We start from the raw sequence: 21276 nt of genomic DNA on the forward strand, positions 1-21276 counted from the left end.
TTAATTGAGGCATCCCATAAACATGCCACAAATGTAATCCAAAAGGTTAAGAAAGTTACATCAACTATAAAAATGTTTTAAAAGTTTAATATAATAGAAGTTTACAAATTCTGGAATATTTAAAATTGTATAGCAGATAACTTCAAATTTTAAAGAACTCTTTGGGCCTTTATAATTATCGTCACAAAATCTTAATTGAGGATCTTCACATTTGATGTTTAAAAACAAAGTAGGAAACAGCAGAAGTACATGCTATGTAAAGATACATCTATTTCTAAATGGAGGTCCAGGTGGCTACCTTGTCTAATATGAATAGAATTTAATTCCCTGGCTAGCTTTGAGGAATATGACAACTTTTACTAATAAAGTCAGTATGACGGTCTTGGCTAATCTGCCTGCCAAATACTCACTGAATTCAGGTATAAAAAGATCATTTTCTGTAAGAATAGATTTGAATAAGAGATAAAAGTGGCTTAAAATTCCTAAATGAAATCTGATTGTAAGAGTAGCAAAATCTAAACCTAAGATTTGAAAAACTTACACACACACAGTCAAATCAAGGCAAATGTACGAATAGAAGGAAAAAACACAAACCAAATCAGCCATTTAAAAATGCAACCAATCCTTTCATGACTAAAGTACCAGCAAATGGGCTCTATTGTAAGATTTTGGTGATGCTAGTTACACAATTCTGGCATACTGCAAGGCTGGCAAATCCGTCAAAGTCAACTCAAGGACCAGCTGAGCTGGGGATATCACTGGATTTTAGCAGCATTCATGTCAAGCCATGTGATAAACAAGAAGGCTGTCAAATGAAGGCACTATGCTTATTATTTGAAAATCAAATAAATGATTTCAATTTTCTGTTACTAAGCAAAAATATAAGCAAAAAGAAAACGAAAGTAATGGAGGAAGGGAGGAAGGAGGGAGAAAGGGAGGGAGGAAGGAAGGAAAAAAGGAAGGAAGGAAGGAAAGGAAGGAAGGAAGGAAGGAAGGAAGGAAGGAAAGGAAGGAAGGAAGGAAGGAAGGAAGGAAGGAAGGAAGGAAAGGAAGGAAGGAAGGAAGGAAGGAAGGAAGGAAAGGAAGGAAGGAAGGAAGGAAGGAAGGAAGGAAAGGAAGGAAGGAAGGAAGGAAGGAAGGAAGGAAGGAAGGAAGGAAAGGAAGGAAGGAAGGAAGGAAGGAAGGAAGGAAAGGAAGGAAGGAAGGAAGGAAGGAAAGGAAGGAAGGAAGGAAGGAAGGAAGGAAGGAAGGAAGGAAGATATTGCCATAATTCTACCACCTAGAGATTGATCAATATTTTGTTGGCATAACGTCTCTTGTTCTTTTATTATGAAGATGTGTTCATGTATCTAGGCTAAGTATACTATCTATTTTACATAATCTTTAAATAAAATTGGAATCTGCTTTTGCACTCGACAATGCATTTTGAACATCTTTTTATGTCAACAGATGTCCTTCTCAAACATTCTAGGTGGCTTGAATAACATTTCTACTGACATTACTTTAAAAAGTATCTTCTTTCATCAATTCAGGCTGCCATAATCATGGGTTAAAAATAATAAATCCAGTTCTTTGGAGGCTTTCATTCTAAATAAAGAATTTCACCAGAACGTGCATCCTGGTGAACGTATTTCAGGGACTACTTCTGGGTTGACATTTCTCATGTTATTTCACATTCTGGATTAAGACACATCTCATATGGTTTTGATTTATATTCTCAGCAGACTTCAAAAAGGAAATTCCAAATGGAAGTTTATTCATGTACCAGAACTGTGTTTAAATGATGCTACAGGGATATCTTAAACTAACAGGAGCCAGGAAATTCAAAACTAAGGTCCTGGACCGTATTCCCACCTCTTCCTTCTTGAATGTCTTAGGTATCTGGAAAGTGGAGATTTTATGTAACAGCTGTTTCACTTGTCTTTGACCTTCTGCATATGTATTTAGACAATTTCAAAGATATATTTTACTTTATGTAATAACTTGGTATTTCCTGGTTGCTGAAGTTTCAAGGTTGTACTCAAAAAACAAAACAAACTAGACCAAATAAAGAAAATCTCCACATCTTGTTTTAATGACTAAATGAATATCTGGAGTCTATGTGACTCCCAAAATTCTTCAAATAATCAAAAGCAAAACATGATCCAAATTTGTAAAACTAGCAAATTTACCAAAAGAGCAACTCTTTAAGGCAAGACTACTTTTGTACAGGGTTCATGTTATTGCTTTAAAGAGAGTTTACAATGAAGATACATTCTAATTTCATTTTGTTCTTAACCAATGGCATATCTGTTTCTGGAATAAAGCTCAAGTTTCTACTCTTATTGAATACATATACTTAGTTTTACAGATTAACTTTTTAAAAAGAACCTGTCAATGTTTTTAGAAAATACTCCTTTATTTGAGGGCATAATTGAACCAGATGGGCACAAGAGGGGTAAATACGGCATCAAGCAGTTAGAAGTGAGTCCAAAATTCTGGATACACCTCTCATTACCTGTGTGACCCTGGGTAGGTTAATTCTAGCATACCTCAGTTTCTTCATCTATAGAATGGGAATAAACAGGAGTACCTACCTCAGAGGGTTGCCGTAAAGATTAAATGATTGCATTTCTGTAAAGTACCTGGAGCACAGCATTTGCTACTATTACTAGGGCAGAGGTGCTTATGTTACTTTCCCATATTAGAAGATAGTGGTTCTGATGGATGGTCTCTGCTTCTCTTCTCTCAGCTCTCTTCATTTGGTATGCAGAAGTGGAAGGCATTTGTCTTTACTTATTTATTCAACAGACACCTGCTGGGTGCCCCTGTTGTGAAAGCCTGCTGGTAGGTGCTGAAGGTGAATGCAAGGCTGTGGGCAGTGGGTCCTACCCTGTAGGTCTCTAAACCAAGCAGGGATAGACAAAGACCCATCCAGGCACTACCACAACCAAAGAAAGCAAAAGCCCTGCAGAACAGGACACTATCCTCCGGGTCTCAGAGCAGGAGGGGGCATTTTGGATAAGATGACCAGGAAAAGCCTTGCAGTTGAGGTGAGATTCAGAAGAAGGCAGAAGAAGGTTAGCCACATGGTTCTGCCATAAACAACCCATCTTCTTCCCCCAGATGAATTAGGAGCTGAGATTCGTGTGAACTCACTGCCTTCTTGGAAGTAGAATCTCATGCTCCTCCCTCTGTGCCTGCAGGAGGTCCTTGGGGTCACATGGCACCCATCAACCTGCCTGGAGATTCTTACACGACAAGTATCTAACATGCAATTCATTTTTTGCAGTCCACAGAATGTTTCATGATACTCTTTCTGGTAAATGAAGCTGTATCTCAGGAAGCCATGCTTCACACAATGCAGTGCTCTTTAACAAGATGTAATGAGAGTCATAAATGAGATGTGACACTTTGGATATGTGACATTTGGACACATTCAGAAATATGACACCTTAGGATAATGGCAGTAAGAGCCTTCTCCTAAGAGGCTGTTACTTTTAGGATATAAACACCAGGCTGGGGAAGACAGTATTGCGATTATGGTTTACAACGTGCTTACCAGTTAATAAGTAAAATATTAGCAATCACATGCCTGATATGCGGGGATCTCAAGGGCAAAGATGTGTTAAAACATAACCAAACACTCCAGGACCTTGGGAAAGAAATCTGTATCAGACATGTGGGCTTCATTAAGGGAAATGCCTTCAGAAGATTATTTTTCCATGTTATGAGAAAAAATCTCAACAAGTAAGTAAATTGTGAGCAAGGGATATGGGCTTCCTGTGGACTAATGACTGGGAGAAGTTGTGGGTTAATGTGGAGTCCAAGGTCATTGATCTCAAGAGGTCATGAATCTCCCAGGTCGGCTTCCTAAGGTCATTCTCACTATGAGAAACATGCTAGGTGTATATTCAGGGATCTGCTTTGTGAGGAGGTGACGGGGAAAGTAATTCAAATACCTTTCAAATACTTAAATACATTTACATTTAAAAACAAAGGAAGTGTTGCTCTTATGCATATAATGGTTACAATTAATGTTCCATGACTGCTTGAATTATACCTAGTGCCAAATGGAAAATTTAGAAATCCGTCCTTGAAACTTTTGCTTCTCTAAAATAAGGAACAAGTAAATATCGACACATAATTTTTTAAAAAATTTAGATGAAGTCTATCTTGCTCAATTTAACGCATAAACCGAGAGCTCTTTACCTGGGGTTTTTAGATATAATTGAGAGGCCTGGGAAACCCTTTGTATGCAAACATTGTTGTGTGTTTTTTGTTTTTCCTGAGGTTACACAGCTTTCCTCAAATGTGTGTGTTTACTCTACCTCTAAGGTGCTCTCCCTTAGCCCAAGAAGAAGATAACACTATGCCCCTTGGAGGCCTAAGGCATATCAGCTTTGTCCTGCTCTGTCTCCCGTGGGCTATCAATTTCTGACTTTGGAATTTGGAGACATAGATATTCTATCTCTGTCTTTCACTCACACATACATACACACACACACACACACACACACATATTCATGCACATGGATTCTGTAAATATGTCTTAGGTAAAACTGCAAACATCCTTAAATAAATATGTGGATTTTGTATCCTCTTAAATTTTGACATTGCAGGTACACATTACCAGATTGGAAACCAGATTGCATCTTTACATCTCATGTTCTTAGCCTAGAGTCTTGTAAATGGCTATCATTTAGTATGTTGACTGAATGGGTGAATGACTATAAGAGAAAAATATTTATAGATCTGAAGGCCAATAAACACCCAAAACATCTCTCAGATATTCAGGTTCTTCCAAACTCACAAGGCTGTTGTACATATGGGAAAATGTATTATGAAAGTCCTTTGCAAACTGTAAGCTCCATATGAAAATAAGGTAACATTATTCTTCTAGTTCTGATTCTGCCTCTGAGGGACATGGCTATTCGTGGGCAGCAATGTCTGTGTATCTCGATATTGCTACTGTTTTCTGAAGGGTGGGGCATTTGACATTGTCCTGGCACTGACTAGGATTGTTGCTTCTGCTGGCTGCAATCTTTCCCTTTCTCTCTGGATGGAATCTTTAGGAGTTCCAAGTGCGCACAGTAATGAGAGATTTAGTCTTGGAAGAAGAGTAGTGAGAAAAGATTTCCCTGTTTTCCCACAAAAGAATCGGTCTCGCTTTTTAAGATCATCTTAACCTGACTGAGGCATAGTCAGTCATACCTGAGAATAACCAATCATAACCATAGAAAAAGAATATCCCAGGACTTTCAAATATTTTGATCACAATCTTTAGTCAGAAATAAACTTCATGTAGTTGTGAACATGCACACACCACACATGTACACACATCATACACACATAGACTAAAACAAAGTTTCATAAAACAATAGTTGCACTTTATGTATGCAAGGAGATCTGACATTTTTCTGTTCTATGCTTTCCTATTCAGAATTAATAGTCATATCCACTGACTTCATCACCCGTTTAAAACACTGACTAGATAACACTCAGCTGTATGAGATGCATCTGGTAAAATATATTAATGTAAAAATGGAACACAGTTCTATGAGTCTGACACTTGAGGGTCTTCTTAGATTCATTCTGTCTCTTCCAGTCCCCATATTCTCACTACACAACCCCAGCACCTGCTGAATTTGACTCAAATATATTTCTTAAACTCCTACCCTCCTCCCCACCTCTGTCTCCTGGACTTGGTTTAACAGAAGTGTCCAATCTTTTGGCTTCCCCGGACCACATTGGAATAAGAAAAATTGTCTTGGGCCACACATAAAATATGCTAACACTAACCATAGCTGATGAGCTAAAAAAAAAATTACAAAAAAAATCTCAAAATGTTTTAAGAAAATTTACAAATTTGTGTTGGGCCACATTCAAAGCCATCCTGGGCTGCATGCGGCCTGGGGCCGTGGGCTGGACGAGCTTGGTTTAGACTCTCATTTTGTCTAAACCAGGACTTCTGCAACAGAACCCAATAGCTCTCCTTGCTTCAGTTCTTGCCTTCCTTGAATCTCTAACGTGAAACTATGTTCATTCTCTTTCAAACTCCTTCACGTCTCCCTGTCACCTGCAGAATAAAGTACCAGCCCATCACCACGGCCCACAGTGCCTTCCTGCCTGGCCTCTGTGTGCTTCTGGGGCTCACGTGCAGTCACGTGAAGCTGCCCGGAGATCCCCAGTCCCAGGCTGCTGTTGCATATCCCACGCCTGTGCTTACACTGTTTCCTCTCCATCTGTCACATTCCTCTCCCTATTTACCTCCTGACTTGCTCACATTTATCTCTATCAAGATTTAGCGAAGACATCATCTGTATCCCAGGTTAGCTCGGCTCTTCTCTGGACTTTCACACATTCATTATGGTCCTTAGATTATACTGAAATGTTCTTGTTACACATCTCTCTCCCCCATTAGACCACAGCTCTTTGAGGGCAGAGGTTGCCTTATTTACTCTTTGTACCACTAGTGCCTAGCAGAGTGCTCGGAGCTCAGCATGTGCTCAAGACATGCTGAATTAAGGAGGAGCTGAGAGTGACTTTCTTGCTCTGCATAAATCTCAAGCCAGAGTGGACTGCAGCCCATTGATTTATTCCCTGCAAAGGACTTGCACGTTGCTGCTGGTCAAAGATCTTTGGCAAAGGAAACTTCTGCCCCCTGAAAAAGCTCTCCTGCTCTCTTTTTTCTCTCTTGGTCTGATGTAAAGAGGCTGAAGGGCACATGCCAGGCTTTCATAGCTTTCTGTTCCACTCTGTTTGAGAAGTCTGATGCTACTATTGCTGGGGCTGTGGTTGGGCTGAGTGCCAGACCCCAGCCTTAATCAATAACAAGAAATCTCATGAAGCTTAGAGGTCTTCCAAATGTGGGTTTGGAATAGTGCTGGGAAGTCAGATTTGGTGAGGGGAGTCATCTCCAATCTGGAGGAACTTGGAGAAGGAGGGCAGTTCCGGTGATGAACAAAGGATTAGGTCACCTTATGAGCAGGAATGAGGCCTGGTCCAGTCAGGACCACCCAAAATCTCCCTGAATATGCCCTGGAGGAAACCCAATTCCCCCAGGCTGCCCCATTCACACCTCCAAGGGAATCATCCAGCCAGTCCAAGAAGGCATTCCTGGGGAATTGGAGATGTGGGGATGCTTTTAATTGCAGTTCAGTAATGCCTCCTTTCCCTTGAAATGTAACCACATTCAGCTATGACTACGCTGGTTCTCAGGAGCAGAGGAAAAATATATGATGTAATGGGATGAGTTTTTTGGGGCACTGAACTAGTCGGGCCTGCCTATAAAGCCTTTCTCTCTACTTTAAACTTCTCCTTCCTGAAGGTGTAGCTTGTTGGACACCTCCTCCAACAAACCTTTCCTGAACCCTTCTGATAATTATAGCCACCTCCACTCTATGATCTCTGGCCATCTTGAATTCTTACTTGTCCTGTTAGATGTAACTGTGACTTCTGTCTCTTTTAGAGTTACAGTGTGAGCTCAGTGAATTTGAAAACAGTAGGGACAGGTCTGTGGTGGTTGGGGTTGCCATGGCTGTTGTTAAGAATGAAGATACAAACAAGCTTGTATATGGGCACGGCTGCTGCTGCTGCTGCTGATGGTTGATGGCCGTTGTTGATTTTCAGAGAAAGAAAAGTGGATTCTGAAATGGATGTCTCTAGTGGATAAAGTAAAGGTGGGAACAGATAAGGGGAAAGAGACAGTAAGTTGGAATTTTAAAAAAATCTTTCAGAGAGGAAGGTGGCCATGGGGAGCTGGCTGAGTGTGGGTTTACTCTATGGGTCCCTGAGCAAGTCTCATTACATCTCAAAGCCTCAGTTTCCTCACTGCAAAATGTGCACAACATTATATATACTCTTCTGAGTCATTGTAAGGATGTGAGAAACTCCAGAACAAGGAAGAGCATTTAGTTTACTGCTGCAATCCTGGTCTCTGTCACAGGGATTTGAACTTGACGTTATGTTCACATTTGTTAAAATGAATTATGTAATTTGACACAGAGCAGGCACTTAAAAATTGGAGCTATTATTATTAACCGAAATGAATACTTTTCACAATTTCCACTGATGTACCCAAATGGGAGAAGAAAATAAACAGATACTTCCAATGGATTTATTTATTTCCTCCTATGTGTAGTTGGAATATAACATGCCCATACTTCTTTTAATGCAACAAAGCTTTCCTTCAAATTTGAGGAAAATCTATGCTCCAAGAAAATGCACTGTCCTGTAGCTTCTAAACACTCTTGGCCATGCTGCCTTGCTGAAGAGGCTCAGGTGTAAATTTAAAAGATAAATCTCATTTTCAGAGAGATGATCTATTTATTTTCAACAGCAGCCTCCATGTATGCCAGAAAATGTGGGGTTCAGGTAAATTCTGACTGCACTCTAGACATTTATGATGGACCCAGGTATCTGCCCTTAAAGAACTGAGACACACGCACACAGGCCATCAGTGGCTGATGTTGGCTAAGCTTAAGATCACGGGATGAAGGAAGAATCTCTGCTCAGCAACACGAAGTGCTGGAAAATAAAGACTTTCTTGTATATGTTTCCATAAAATAGCAGGACATCTTATGTTTTGAAGGCAATTTATGCATTTTTTTAGGAGTGCTACCAACATCATGCAAAGATAACTTCAGAGACAAAACCCAAGTCTGATCACTGTCTCCTTCGCTTAGAATTCTCCATGGTTCTCAAATCTCTCCAAAGAAAAATCCAAATTTCCGAGGACACTATGAAATTCTTAAGCTCAGCCTGGGTCCCTGATATTCTTCTGTGTCTCAACTGCCCACATCCCTGATAGTTGGCAATGGTGCTAAACAACTCAAAGTTTCCTAAAATCGACCCTCCAACTCCCATCCTCTGTTCCCTATAGGCAATTTTCCCACTGTCTAGAATGACATTCTTCTTCTGCTTTATGTGACTAGTCAATTCTTTTCCTCTTTGCCTCTCTGATTCCCAGCTCTAGTTTTATCTTTCCGCCATGTCCTTCCAGACCACCTGACCACTGCCACTGAGGCCATGCAAGGCTAAGTAACAAGTTCACAAAGGTCTATCCTTTGTACCCACATGCCCTTCTGATCCAGCACTTACCCCGGCGCTGGAATGTGTGGTTCACTCTGCTTTTCTGTTTCCCACCACAGACAGTGTCTTTGCATTCTCTGCACCAGCGCAGCACCAAGCACCACAAAGGGGCCTGGTTAACGTTTGCATGGAGAACTGAGGAGGGTTCCAGCATGGAGGTTCAAAGAAATTCAGAGCAAGGAGCAGATGATAGTCCTCTCTCATGTTTCCGGTTGCTAACAGTGGAGAGGAACCTCACTGCTCCCCAGTGACCTGCGAAGCCTCAGCTGAGATTCCAAGCCTCCACACTTCCTTTCCTCATTGTTTTCATTCCCATTAAAAAGGAACACCAAAGATTTGCATCACAGCCTTAAAATAAAGTCCCAGAGAAAAGGATTCTGTTTGGAATAGAAAGAACCACACACTTTCTAATGAATCAAACCCCTAAAGAGGACTAAAATGTAAGGTGGGGTATGTTCCACTCATTCACATTCTCAACAGAGTCTTTTAGTAGCGAACAGAACTCTCCTCTCGTAAAGAAACAGTGCGATTTCTATCATAATTCCAGTGGTTAATCTTTTGCTTGAAATTTCCAAATATTTTCTTACATGCCCTTTAAGACCATAAATACAGTTTTAAAACATTCCACAGTTGACTAAAAGCAGCAAAGATGATGATTCTAAGAGACTTCCTTCCTTTTCCTCGGTACGAAAACTATCCTCATTGTATAATGCAGGTACTAAGGTTCGTGATCTCTTTTAAGCTTTATGGTACTTCTTTTTTCTGTGGAGTGTGGCTTTTATTTACATCCTAAAGAGTATGTCATTAATTATCCACTTCATTATCTCACTTATGTCCTAACACAATAATGAAATCAGCAAATTGAGAGTATTTGAGATTAACAATCTCAAAATAGCAAAACAAAATGAAACAAAAAAAACCCTTGTTTACTAAATTCTAGGTTTTAAAAATTATCTTTGGTATAATGGCTTCTATTAGCACAATCCAGACACCACCAAACTACCTGTTAAATCTGCCAGAAAGCCCCGCGTTCCTAGGCTTGCAAAGAAAATGGGTGGGAAGTAGTTCACAGCAACGCTCTTAAGTGCTTGTGTAGGAGAGTGGAGGAGTACCACTAATGCTGATGTCATTGTCGTTTCTGAAATTCCTGCCCTGATCACTCTCCCATCTGGGCTACTTTTCTAATCTGGAATTTTCTCTCCCTTCTTTCTCTCACTACCCAGACACCTGACCCCCAAGGAATCATTGAGTCACTTCCTGTCCTCTAACCTTGTGGCTTAACTTCCGTTTCTGTTTAAGAGCATTGACCTGGGGGATGTGAAGAGAATGACAGAGGGAGAGGGTTGCCGGGAAGGCAGGGAAAGAGGGGGAAGGGTCCCGCTCTATCGGGGTCAGACAAGGAGTTGCTGAGAACTGCCCACTTTTGATTTTTTTGAGATAATCATTGCTGTCACAGTCATGATCTGAATTGTGCATTAGTTAATACTTGATTTACCTCCAGAATCTGCTCATGGACTTTCTACTGCTTATCTGCAACTTCAGAAAGGGTGGAGAGTGAAAGAAATAAAAAGCAAATTCATCAGTCTTACATTTATGAAAAGTCTGATTGGGCAAACCTGAGACCTGTTCAGAAGAAAGGGCTTGGAAGGGCATGCATTTTACTGAGACTTCTATCTTTATTTGTCACTAACCATTCATTCATTAAATGTAGTGCATGAGTCTTAGCTTTCCAGATCAGTTTTTAATAAAAGGATATTTTTACTATGGTAAAAAAAAAATTAAATGAAGCATCTTTTTTTTAAAAGAAAAAAATTTATTTATTTATTTTGTTTGTGAGATGGTCTTGATCTGTCACCCAGGCTGGACTGCAGTGGCATGATCTCAGCTCACTGTAACCTCCGCCTCCCAGGTTCAAATGATTCTCGTGCCTCAGCCTCTCAAGTAGCTGGGATTACAGACCTGTGCCACCACACCCAGCTAATTTTTGTATTTTTTAGTAGAGACAGGGTTTTGCTATGTTGGCTAGCCTGGTCTCAAACTCCTGACCTCAAGTGATCTGCCCACCTCGGCCCTCCCAAAGTGCTGGGATTATAGACATGAGCCACTGCGCCCAACCTAAACGAAGCATCTTTAAATAATGTTGTGGCAAAACCCGGCTGACTATGGGATAGACCTTTGAGTGGACTCTGATTCTAGCCTTCCTGGTTGCTGGGCCATGGGAAAGAGCACTGGCCAAAGGCAGGTGGGTGAATCTGCCATGTGACCTGCCACCGGCTCTCCTTCTTTAGCCACAGCAGATGTTCCAGTGCCCAGGTGACCTAGAAGCTTCATGTGGAGGTGATGGAACTTCAGTAGGCCTGGAAGTGATGCAGTATCTTCTGCCCTCAATGTGAGTAGGAAACAAACATTTAGTTGGTTACCATGATAAACACTTTAGGGACAGGAACCTCAACCTTCTTTAACCCCCAGTGGCCACATATGCCTGGAAAACAGTAGGTGTATGGCCTATATTTATGGGAATAGTGAACATTGAATGAGTCATACAACAAAAATTAAAATGGACACAGAGAGTTAATTCTGAGAAAAATTTCTGGTTATGATCTGCTGCTACACACACACACCCACCCACCCACATGCACACATACTCAACTTCACTGTAAATATCACTCACAAACTCTTTTGTCTTTTATGTCCATTTTTGTTTTCATGGAAACCATCCAACTTTCAATACTCACCACACTAAGATAGTGAAACAGCTTCTTTTGAAGAGGATTCAATTTTCTCCCCGAAATAACTATTTCAATTGACTGAATAGGTTTGTTTCACTGTTCGTCACTTCTAGAAAATGAAATGCATTGAAAAAGCAGTTTGGAGTGATCTAGACTTTAATATCAGATCCTCTGAGCAGGTACTGACCAGATGGGTACAATTTCCTGGCTCTGTGCTTTCTTCATAAAGAATCTGTCAGATTAGTTGGTGAAAATGACAAACGAAAAGACACTTTGCCTTAATAACAAAACCCATGAAATCCCTTAGACTTTTGTAATTATTTTCCGGCTAACTTTGCTTTCTAGGCTTAAGCTGTGAAGTGACATTTGGTGTTTCCTTTTTAAACTAATTGTTATTGCTTATTAGAGCAGACATTTAGTGTCTGTCAGGTATAAGTCAATGACTCTCACACTTTGTATTTATGCTTTTCTTTTGTCATTTAGAAATGTTTTATTTTGTTTCTTTTAATTGCTTAAAAGTAGTGTCATGAATAGCTCGATGCTTCATATAAAACCATAAGGAAGAACTACAAACAAAGCTTTTTTTATTACTTTAATATTTTTTGAGAGGTGATAGAAAGCATGTTTATAATTTGGTTAGAATCTCCAAAGTGGCTGTATCTTTTAAAACTAGTATTTAATGGCTAGATATAACCAACTTTCAGTTATAAGAAAGAAGGAAAGGAGGAAGTGGGAATGGCAGGAAGGAAGTCAGGAAAAGAAGCAGGAGGGCAGGAAGGGAACGACAAACCAGAGAGTCCCTTCCCTTTCCTCCTGCTTTCCCTCCTTCCTCCTTTCGGAGGAAGGAGGGAAAGCAGGAGGAAAGGGAAGGGACTCTCTGGTTTGTCGTCCTTTCAAAATTCCTAAACAAATTCAGTCCTTCCGATGGCACTTTCATAGGCTAGCAGGAGTACTTCTGGACACTTCTAGCTGGTCATCTTGCTGCTGTGTATGAACCTCCCTCCCACAAAGAAGGAACCTGTTTGTGTGCCCTTCCTGTTCTATATGGGTGCCCTTGCTGTGGGACAGGGCCCAGTTCACAGCTATTTCGCTAATCAGAAACTTCAACGCCTTTCTCAATTTCATCTAAGTACAGTTTTCTGCTTGACTCAGTTACTCTCTCATGTACAAAATGGTCCTCTGCCCCGTGTCCTCCCTGTGTTCATCCTTGCCCGGGTGATCCCAGTTTCTAGCAGGAGTTCAGCAGAAGTCACTGATTGAAATGTACCACCTGAAACAGCATCTTACTTTCAACTGCAACCCACTCTAAGCCATTTTATATACTATTGTAAAAATGATGATCCCAAACTTAACTCTAGATTTATGTTATTTTAAAATTTAGCTTCCTGATCCCCTTTTGGGACAAAACAACTTTCTCATTATACTAGATACCCTATAATCACCCAGGAAGTTCACATTAATTGATGACTAAATATTTGGCTAAAGGTCTATCATGGCTAGTGAATACCAATTTGGGCTTTATTTTACCCTAAATCTGGTTTAGTTAAAAATATTTTAAGGATAGGCTGGGTGTGATGGCTCATGCCTGTAATCCCAGCACTTTGGAAGGCCAATGAGGAAGGGTCACTTAAGGCCAGGAGTTCAAGAACACAATGAAACTCTGTCTCTACAAAAAAAAATGAAAAGAATTTAGCCCGGATGTGGCTTCAGTTACTTGGGAGGCTGAAGTGGGAGGATTGTTTGAGCCCGGGAGGTAGAGGCTGCAGTAAGCTATGATCCTATCACTGTACTCCAGCCAGGGTCACAGAGAAAGACCCTGTCTCAAAAAAAATAATAAAATATATTTTAAGGATTTCCTGAGCCAGGCATGAAAACAAAACCCCAAGGGTTTTTAAGCATGTGGTTCTTAACACCACCACCATGAGAGATGAAAAATAAATGATGTACTGTTGGAATACTGCACCCATTTCGTTTTCTTTTCTTTTCTTTTCTTTTTTTTTTTTTTTTGAGACCAAGTCTCACTCTATTGCCTAGGCTGGAGTGCAATGGCACAATCTTGGCTCACTGCAACCTCCGCCTCCAGGGTTCAAGCGATTCTTCTGCCTCAGCTTCCTGAGTTGCTGGGATTACAGGCACATACCACCACGCCTGGCTAATTTTTGTATTTTAGCAGAGATGGAGTTTTACCATGTTGGCCAGGCTAGTCTCGAACTCCTGACCTTGTGATCCACCGGCCTTGGCCTCCCAAAGTGCTGGGATTACAGGCATGAGCCACCGTACCCGGCCACTACACCCGTTTATTAAAGTACTGAATATAAATTACACAGTCTTAAAAATACCAGCATTCAAAAAAAACCCAAAATATCAGCTTTCAAAAATACAAAAACAAAATACCAAGTATTACTGCAATGCCTTATTATACTCATTTCCAAAAAGATGTTGGGATTTTGTAAACAATTTACAAGGTATGTTTATTTTAATAAGTTACGACATAAACAATTACTAAAGTAAGGTCATGTCAAAAACTATATACGCGGTTTTCAGCTTTTTAAGTGTATTTTTCTTTGGGAAGCTTTTATGATTGGCCCACTATGGATTATTAGATGGTAAGTTAACTAACTTCTGAATGCTTTTAATTTAATTTTTAAAAAACGATTTAATACTTGGCTGGTCACAGACCCCATCTATTATTGTTACTGAAAGGTTAATTAACAACGTGGCTAGCTACTTGTATGACCTTGGGCACAAAACTTTACCCTATCTGATTTTAATCTTCTCACCAGTAAAATGAGGGCTCTTTTAGAGTCTTGTAATGCTTTTAATGCTCTACAATCCTGTGATTTCTAAGATGAAATGTTGTGTTGAAGTCGGTGACATTAATGTCTCTTTGGAAAAATGTAATGGGACTCCAGAGAAGGTCAACCACATGCCGATGTCCTGGCTATGTGATTATAGACAAAAGCCACACCCAGGCTAACTGAATCCAGAAAAATCCACATGAACATTGTAGGAAAGTTAAGATTGCCCTTGCACTTGGTTGCTAGGAAAGCATGGTTGATGAGCTCTAATCCAAATGGTTTATAAATTTCATACTGTGGTCTCTGACACAGCTAGCTAAACATCCAAGACCACAGCCTCAGCAATGTCTTTGTCCCTGACATCAACCTCAACTGATTGTTCATTTTCAATTTTATTCTTAAAGGTAACATGTTGATTTCTCCCTGTTTTGTAATCCAATTCTAATAAAAATGAGAAGGCAGGCAGGATTCTGATATTGGGAGATAAATAAAACTGCATTTTGCAAGGCAGTCAGTTATTGTAAGACAGTTATTAAAACAGCTGGAGAAATGGCCTCAGACTGCAGCCAGCCTGCAAATCAGCCGGGCAATCTGGCCCTTGGTGCACATGGCCTTGGATGGTATTCTCTGAAATCAGGTTACAGGAGTCTGTGAGCTGGAGTCTCTGTTTTTTGGCAGTTCCCACAGCAATTAACCCGGTGTTAGGCACACAGTGGCATGGTAAAACTTGTTGGCAATTCATGAAATAGTTACTATTGAAAAAACAAAAGAACATTTCTAGAGCTTCTTGCATTTTGTAGTTTGGAGATAAACATTGGCTTTAATTGCAGTACTTACTAAACAGGGAATATGCTACTTAGAAGCTAAAACAGTACATCGACAACTTTCCTTCTCTTATTCCTTAATTAATTAATCATAATCATCCACAGTTGTTACTGGAATATGTTGAATTTGTGGAATTTGTGAGAATGTTGCAGGTTTCTTAATGCATATTCAGGAGTATTTGCCCTGATATAAGTTGTACGAGGAAAGTTTATAGGACCTGTGAAAGCCATTCAATTGTTTTTCTAATTCTCATATGCATATGCCATTCAAATATTCTGCTTAAAGGTATCTGCATTGTTATTGTTGATATCAGGTGTCAGATGTGATGCTAAATGCTTTATGTGCAATGGCTCACTTAATCCTCACAAGAGCTTTTAAAAAGGTATTACCATTCCCAGTGGGACGCAGTGGCTCATGCCTGTAATCTCAGCAATTTGGGAGGCCAAGGTGGGCGGATCACCTGAGGTCGGGAGTTCAAGACCAACCTGACTAAAATGGAGAAACGCCATCTCTACTAAAAATACAAAATTAGCTGGGTGTGGTGGTGCACGCCTGTAATCCCAGCTACTTGGGAGGCTGAGGCAGGACGATTGCTTGAACCCAGGAGGCAGAGGTTGCAGTGAGCCGAGATTGCACCACTGCACTCCAGCGTGGGCAAAAAGAGCGAAACTCTGTCTCAAAAAAAAAAGGTATTACCATTCCCATCTTATGGAGGAAGAAGCTAGGATCAGGGAGGTTCAATGAGGTGCCCAAGGTCACAAATGGGATGCTATAACTCATACCACAGCTTTTGCTCAAATTCTAGCCCTCATTCATAACTAAATGGGAATAAGTGGATGAGAAAATGGCAAAGCTTTTAAAACATCTTTTTAAAAGAAGGAGGGTATAAATTATAAATAAAAATGCAACTGAAGAAAGGACAAACAATTCCTCACATAATTTCTTCATTTATTTATTCATACTTTAATCAGCCACTAAATACACATGTTCACCACAGCAGCATGTAGTATGAGGAGTAAGAAAAGAGATCATCTATACAGCAGGGCTTAATGAAAATGAAAGTTGTTAGTGATTAGAAGGAGAAGGAAAAGTTGAACCATCAAAGATCTTGACGCCTTGCAGAAGGTTCTAGGTGGGAACATTATTTCCAGTCAGAATGGTCTTTAAGAGCTTTTTAAGAGGTGAGAAACAGTAACAATGAAAACGTCACATAATAGTTTGTTGTTGGACAAACACGCAGACAGAACACAACTCGAGGCTCTTTACTGTATTATCTCTCACCCTCATGACACTCAGGTAGACATTACTGTTGCCATTTTGGAGATGAGCAACTAGAAGCTTAGAACACAACCAGCGACAAACCAGTCGGAAAGCGTGAACACAACCAGCGACAGTGTCAGGATTCAAACCCAGACATACAGAAGCCCAATGCCTCCCACCTTTCCTCAAAGCCATGCTGCTCAGAGCTGACTTCCTGTGGTGTTTTTGTTGGCTGTGACATGGTATTTGAAGCAGGAAAACAAAACAAAACAAAAAAGATCTTAACTTGGAGGACAGGAGAGAGAAACTGTAGAGATCAGTAAAATAAATGAGGAGGTTTATCCAGTCATCTGTACTATTAATTGAATTTAGCTCTCTACTAGCTAAGTGCTACACGGCTCCATGGTGATTATCAAGGTAGTCAGGATTTCAAATGGTGCTGATAACTAAGTGTAATAGGATTATGCATTTTTTTTCTTTTAGAGTTGAAACAAAAAAAGGCCCTTTAAGCTGAGGTTTTCAGGTTGTTTTTTTCCTGTTACAAACTAGTCCAGAATGATCCCAGAGACCTCAAGGAGTGTTAGAGCTTATTTCACTTATATAGGGAAAAAGAAAGACAGAGTATTTGCTAGGTAGATGCATACTCTTCTAGCTCTTCTTGCCTCAATCTGGACTTAGATTCAATGGACTAAACTTAGCAGAAAAGTCACACGGAGAAGGCAATGAACACAGCACATGCCTAATACCATATTTTTATTTGATGATATTTGAACCATAAATATACTTCACTTCAAAAAAACCTTAAAAATTGTGTATTAAATGAATTTTGGTAAATAATTTAAGTAAGGAGAGATGGTTAATATTCATTATGGAAACATTCTGCTATGAAATTCAGTTTACTAAGAGGATTAATGTTTTCATTAAAAAAATATTTTGACTGAATCTTAAAAAAAAATCCCTGATTTACATTATCTTGTAAATGTACATTCTTTCATGGTAAGAATATTTTTAAAAGGTTAATCAGCATTTGTTTTTGATTTAAAAGTAAGTTTATACTTAAACATCATATTTTAAGGTATTTAGTGCAGAATGAAATTACTTTAATATAAACTAGATGTAATTTGTCATGTTTTTTAATAGAAAACTTTTCAATACTATAATGCTTTGCTTGTATTGGGCAGAATATAAAACAAATTCAAAGCAGTGAAGAATTGGGAGGAAAAGAAAAATGATTCTCAACCCTCAAATATGGGCTTCTTTGGAGAAAGTGAAAATGGATTTTTAAAAAATCAGAAACGAACAACTCACTGTTTTTTTGAAAGGAGATTATATATGCTGTTAGTCATTTTTTAAAATGACCACAGCTACCATAGAGACTTTGATTTATTTACATTTTCCTGGGCCTGCAGCCCCCTCTTGTATAAACATATACACATACCAATATGTTATGTGAACAGCAATCTTGCAGTGACTTCAAGGAAAAAGTTGTTTTTGTAAAAGAACTCATATTTTCCCATGCTACTTCACTTCTTGTGCAAGAACTTTTATGAGATTCTAGTGAACTGTGTTTTATTTATTTTCCTTTGTTCTTTCCCTCTTACTGGAAGAAAACATTATCTGGATGTAATCATGTTCAATGAGAATACATTCTGACTCAGGAGATGATTTAAATCAATGACCAACAATTAAAATGCCTAATCTGCCACTACTTTGGATATGGCAATTTAATTTTACTAGGTCAACACATTCATTTATTTTAATGCAATATATATTCCCCCACAGGAAGGAACACTATTTCAGTAATCCCCTGTTACTGACATCTTTGCAGATTTAGCCACTCTCTCTGTAACTCAACCAACTAAAGTTGAAGTTTTGTAGCGGGAAAAATACAAAGTGAACATCTCTAGGCTACTTCATCAAAGTCCCCGGGGACCACATTTTTCTCTCAGGAGACTGTCCTGTAATTCACTGAATCATTGCTTGTATTCTCACTATCAGTAAGCCTGTGTGGTGTTCCAGCCACCTGGAGCTGACAAATATTTTTCTATGTGAAGGATACCATAGCAACCAGATTTGCCGCATGGACAGAAACCAGCCATAACGATGCTGCAATTTTAGCCAGGAAGCCGACACGTAGCACCCACGACAGTATTATCGTAAAGCATGTCTTGAGATCTGAAAATTCATTATTTTCTAGGACTTAGTTCTTTAGACACAAGAACGGAAATTACCCCAAGCCCTAAGTGAAGGAAGGCGGTAAGAAGGAAGGAAGATGGGAAAGATCATATGTTTCAAATCTGTCTCTCTTTCTTACAAGCAATGCCAACTTGTACAAGTTAATAAACCCTCTGAGCCTCAGTTTTTTCATCTGTAAAATGGAGACAATCATTCTCCCTCAAAGGGTGGTCGTGAGGATGAAATGAGTGCTCTGTACTGTGGTTGGCAGATGGGACACACATAACAACTAAAAGCTTTCTCCATTTGGTTAAGAAGGGAGGTAATAGACACTTAGAGGCCACAAGAACAATGCTCTCCAAAATAGGGTTCAGATGATTATATGAGAAATGTTATCTGTGTTTAAAATTTCGTATTAAAATATTCTAAAATATTTTTAAAGAATTAGGCTGGGTGCAGTGGCTCACGCCTGTAATCTCAGCACTTTGGGAGGCCGAGGTGGGTGGATCATTTGAGGTCAGGAGTTCAAGACCAGCCTGGCCAATATGGCGAAACCCCGACTCTACTAAGACTACAAAAATTAGCTGGGCGTGGTGACACGACGCATGCCTGTAATCCCAGCTACTCAGGAGGCTGAGGCACAAGAATCGCTGGAACCTGGGGGGCAAAGTGAGCTGAGATTGCACCACTCTCCAGCCTGGACAATGAAGCGAGACTCTGTCTCAAAAAACAATAATAATAATAAATACAAATAAAATAAATATTTTTAAAGAAACAAATTGTTATGCCAGTATGCAATATCAGGATATGATAGGAGGCGCCCTCACTGGAGCTGCCAGCCTGCCAGTGGTTTCTGGGAGGGAGGGTGGCGATTGTATAGTAGAGAGGATTGACCCCAGCAATCTTACCTCCACGCTTGCTTTCAGTACTGCCCTACATCATGATGTGCGGCAGCCGACATGGACTCGATTGAGAGACTGTGAGCTACATTGCTTATCTTTAACCAAACTAATCCTAACAGAATGGAGAGGCAACTTAAAAAGATTCTTGCAGAGGAACCACAAAGAGAAAATATTAATTACCAGCAATGAGTAGCCAACAAGAAAGAGACAAAGCTGAAATTCCCTTACTCCTAGTACTGGCCCTGTTAACAGTCACTTCTACAAGGCAGCAATAATGAACACAGATTTAGACCAGAAAAGAAGCCAACTGAACTAGTGTAAAATTGTCTGGAAGACTATTTGAAATAGAGATTTACGTAATTATTGATGGACTTTGGCCTTTATGACTTGAGATATTAATGACAGTAGAACTGCATGTAACTTATAAAATACATAAAGATAGATATATTGGGAGTACTGCTCAAGATTTTGTTACTGATATGAGTGTATATTCAACAAAGGCTGGGGCCACTGTGCCGGGGAAATGAATATAGGGTGGCCACACTGCCTGCTTCCCAGCCTTTTTCACACATGGCACACACGTTGTGTTTGTACTACATGCTGGGATAAGCTACTAGGCTATGGGAAGCTCAAGCCTTTGGTCACCCCAGGTCCCGCTCAGCCAGCCCAAGACTGAGGAGGTCAATATTTTCAGCACACCTATTACCAATTCAGGGCACACTCATATCCCATGTGAGGCACCCTGTAAGCGTACTGGTTGAAAACTCAGTTCTATAGACAGATTTAGGCAGGGTTAATTATTGAAGAATATAGCTATTTGGTGTGAATTGAGTTATCTCTATAGACAAAGGAAGAGAGTTGTGTGTGTGTGTGTGTGTGTGTGTGTGTGTTTTCAATAGACCTCTTAAGCGTCAGCCCAATAAAACTTGTTTGTATCGCAAGTGGGCTTATTGTCAGAGTTAAATATTTACGCTATCTCATTCTCTCAGATCTGATGAAGGAACAAACTTTATAAATATTCTCTTTCCTCTCCGTCAGCGAGCCAATTCCACTTCGGTCTGCCCAGCATTCGACACAGTGCTGCTGCTGACGCAGTAAGTGCTAATGTATGCTTGCCTAACGGATCAGCAAGCCATGGTAGAACCAACACCCTGCTCATCCGTCCTTACATTAGTATGTAGTTAGATCCTTTTCCTGTTCCTCCCAGGAGGTAATCCAAAACATTGCCACTGAATTTCCATCCCCAGTCCTAATCCCTGGCTGCTAATTCTTAGCTGACTTCCCCTCTTCCTTGATGAGGTCACCAAGGCCATCTTACAAAAGCTGTTTCAGGCCGGGCGCGGTGGCTCACGCCTGCAATCCCAGCACTTTAGGAGGCCGAGATGGGCGGATCATGAGGTCAGGAGATCAAGACCACACTGGCTAACATGGTAAAACCCCGCCTCTACTAAAAACACAAAAAATTAGCCGGGCATGGTGGCACACACCTGTAGTCCTAGCTACTTAGGAGGGAGG

The 21276-nt window shown here is 40.1% G+C and overlaps 1 protein-coding gene across 11 annotated transcripts in view, besides 5 other annotated features; it reads right to left on the minus strand.

Annotated features, from left to right (window-relative positions):
- The window catches only part of STARD13 (StAR related lipid transfer domain containing 13), a 573658-nt gene that overhangs the window by 73660 nt on the left and 478722 nt on the right, over positions 1-21276 (minus strand). For 2 of the 11 annotated variants that reach the window (NM_178007.3, NM_001243466.2), the window contains exon 1: positions 9082-9295. The exons of the other annotated variants lie outside the window; for them this stretch is intronic. In NM_178007.3, the coding sequence (NP_821075.1) occupies positions 9082-9226 (145 nt within the window). In that variant the 5' untranslated portion in view covers positions 9227-9295. Of the gene's footprint in view, positions 1-9081; positions 9296-21276 lie in introns of those variants that run through there. 11 annotated transcript variants of the gene reach the window in all.
- Positions 6055-6274: an enhancer, noted in NCBI's record as "active region_7571". NCBI's record gives its function as "activates an Ori minimal core promoter by ATAC-STARR-seq in GM12878 lymphoblastoid cells {active_cell/tissue: GM12878}" and the evidence as "EXISTENCE:reporter gene assay evidence [ECO:0000049][PMID:35858748]".
- Positions 7447-7536: an enhancer, noted in NCBI's record as "active region_7572". NCBI's record gives its function as "activates an Ori minimal core promoter by ATAC-STARR-seq in GM12878 lymphoblastoid cells {active_cell/tissue: GM12878}" and the evidence as "EXISTENCE:reporter gene assay evidence [ECO:0000049][PMID:35858748]".
- Positions 9118-10317: an enhancer, noted in NCBI's record as "CDK7 strongly-dependent group 2 enhancer chr13:33760051-33761250 (GRCh37/hg19 assembly coordinates)". NCBI's record gives its function as "activates an origin of replication core promoter dependent on BRD2, BRD4, P300/CBP, MED14 and CDK7 cofactors, with strong dependence on CDK7, by STARR-seq in HCT116 cells {active_cell/tissue: HCT116}" and the evidence as "EXISTENCE:reporter gene assay evidence [ECO:0000049][PMID:35650434]".
- Positions 11411-11560: an enhancer, noted in NCBI's record as "active region_7573". NCBI's record gives its function as "activates an Ori minimal core promoter by ATAC-STARR-seq in GM12878 lymphoblastoid cells {active_cell/tissue: GM12878}" and the evidence as "EXISTENCE:reporter gene assay evidence [ECO:0000049][PMID:35858748]".
- Positions 19250-19440: a silencer, noted in NCBI's record as "fragment chr13:33770183-33770373 (GRCh37/hg19 assembly coordinates)". NCBI's record gives its function as "represses an EF-1alpha promoter that drives an FKBP-Casp9 reporter gene in an ReSE screen in K562 erythroleukemia cells {active_cell/tissue: K562}" and the evidence as "EXISTENCE:reporter gene assay evidence [ECO:0000049][PMID:32094911]".

The sequence above is a fragment of the Homo sapiens genome, chromosome 13, assembly GCF_000001405.40.
Source record: "Homo sapiens chromosome 13, GRCh38.p14 Primary Assembly".
NCBI lineage: Eukaryota > Metazoa > Chordata > Mammalia > Primates > Hominidae > Homo > Homo sapiens.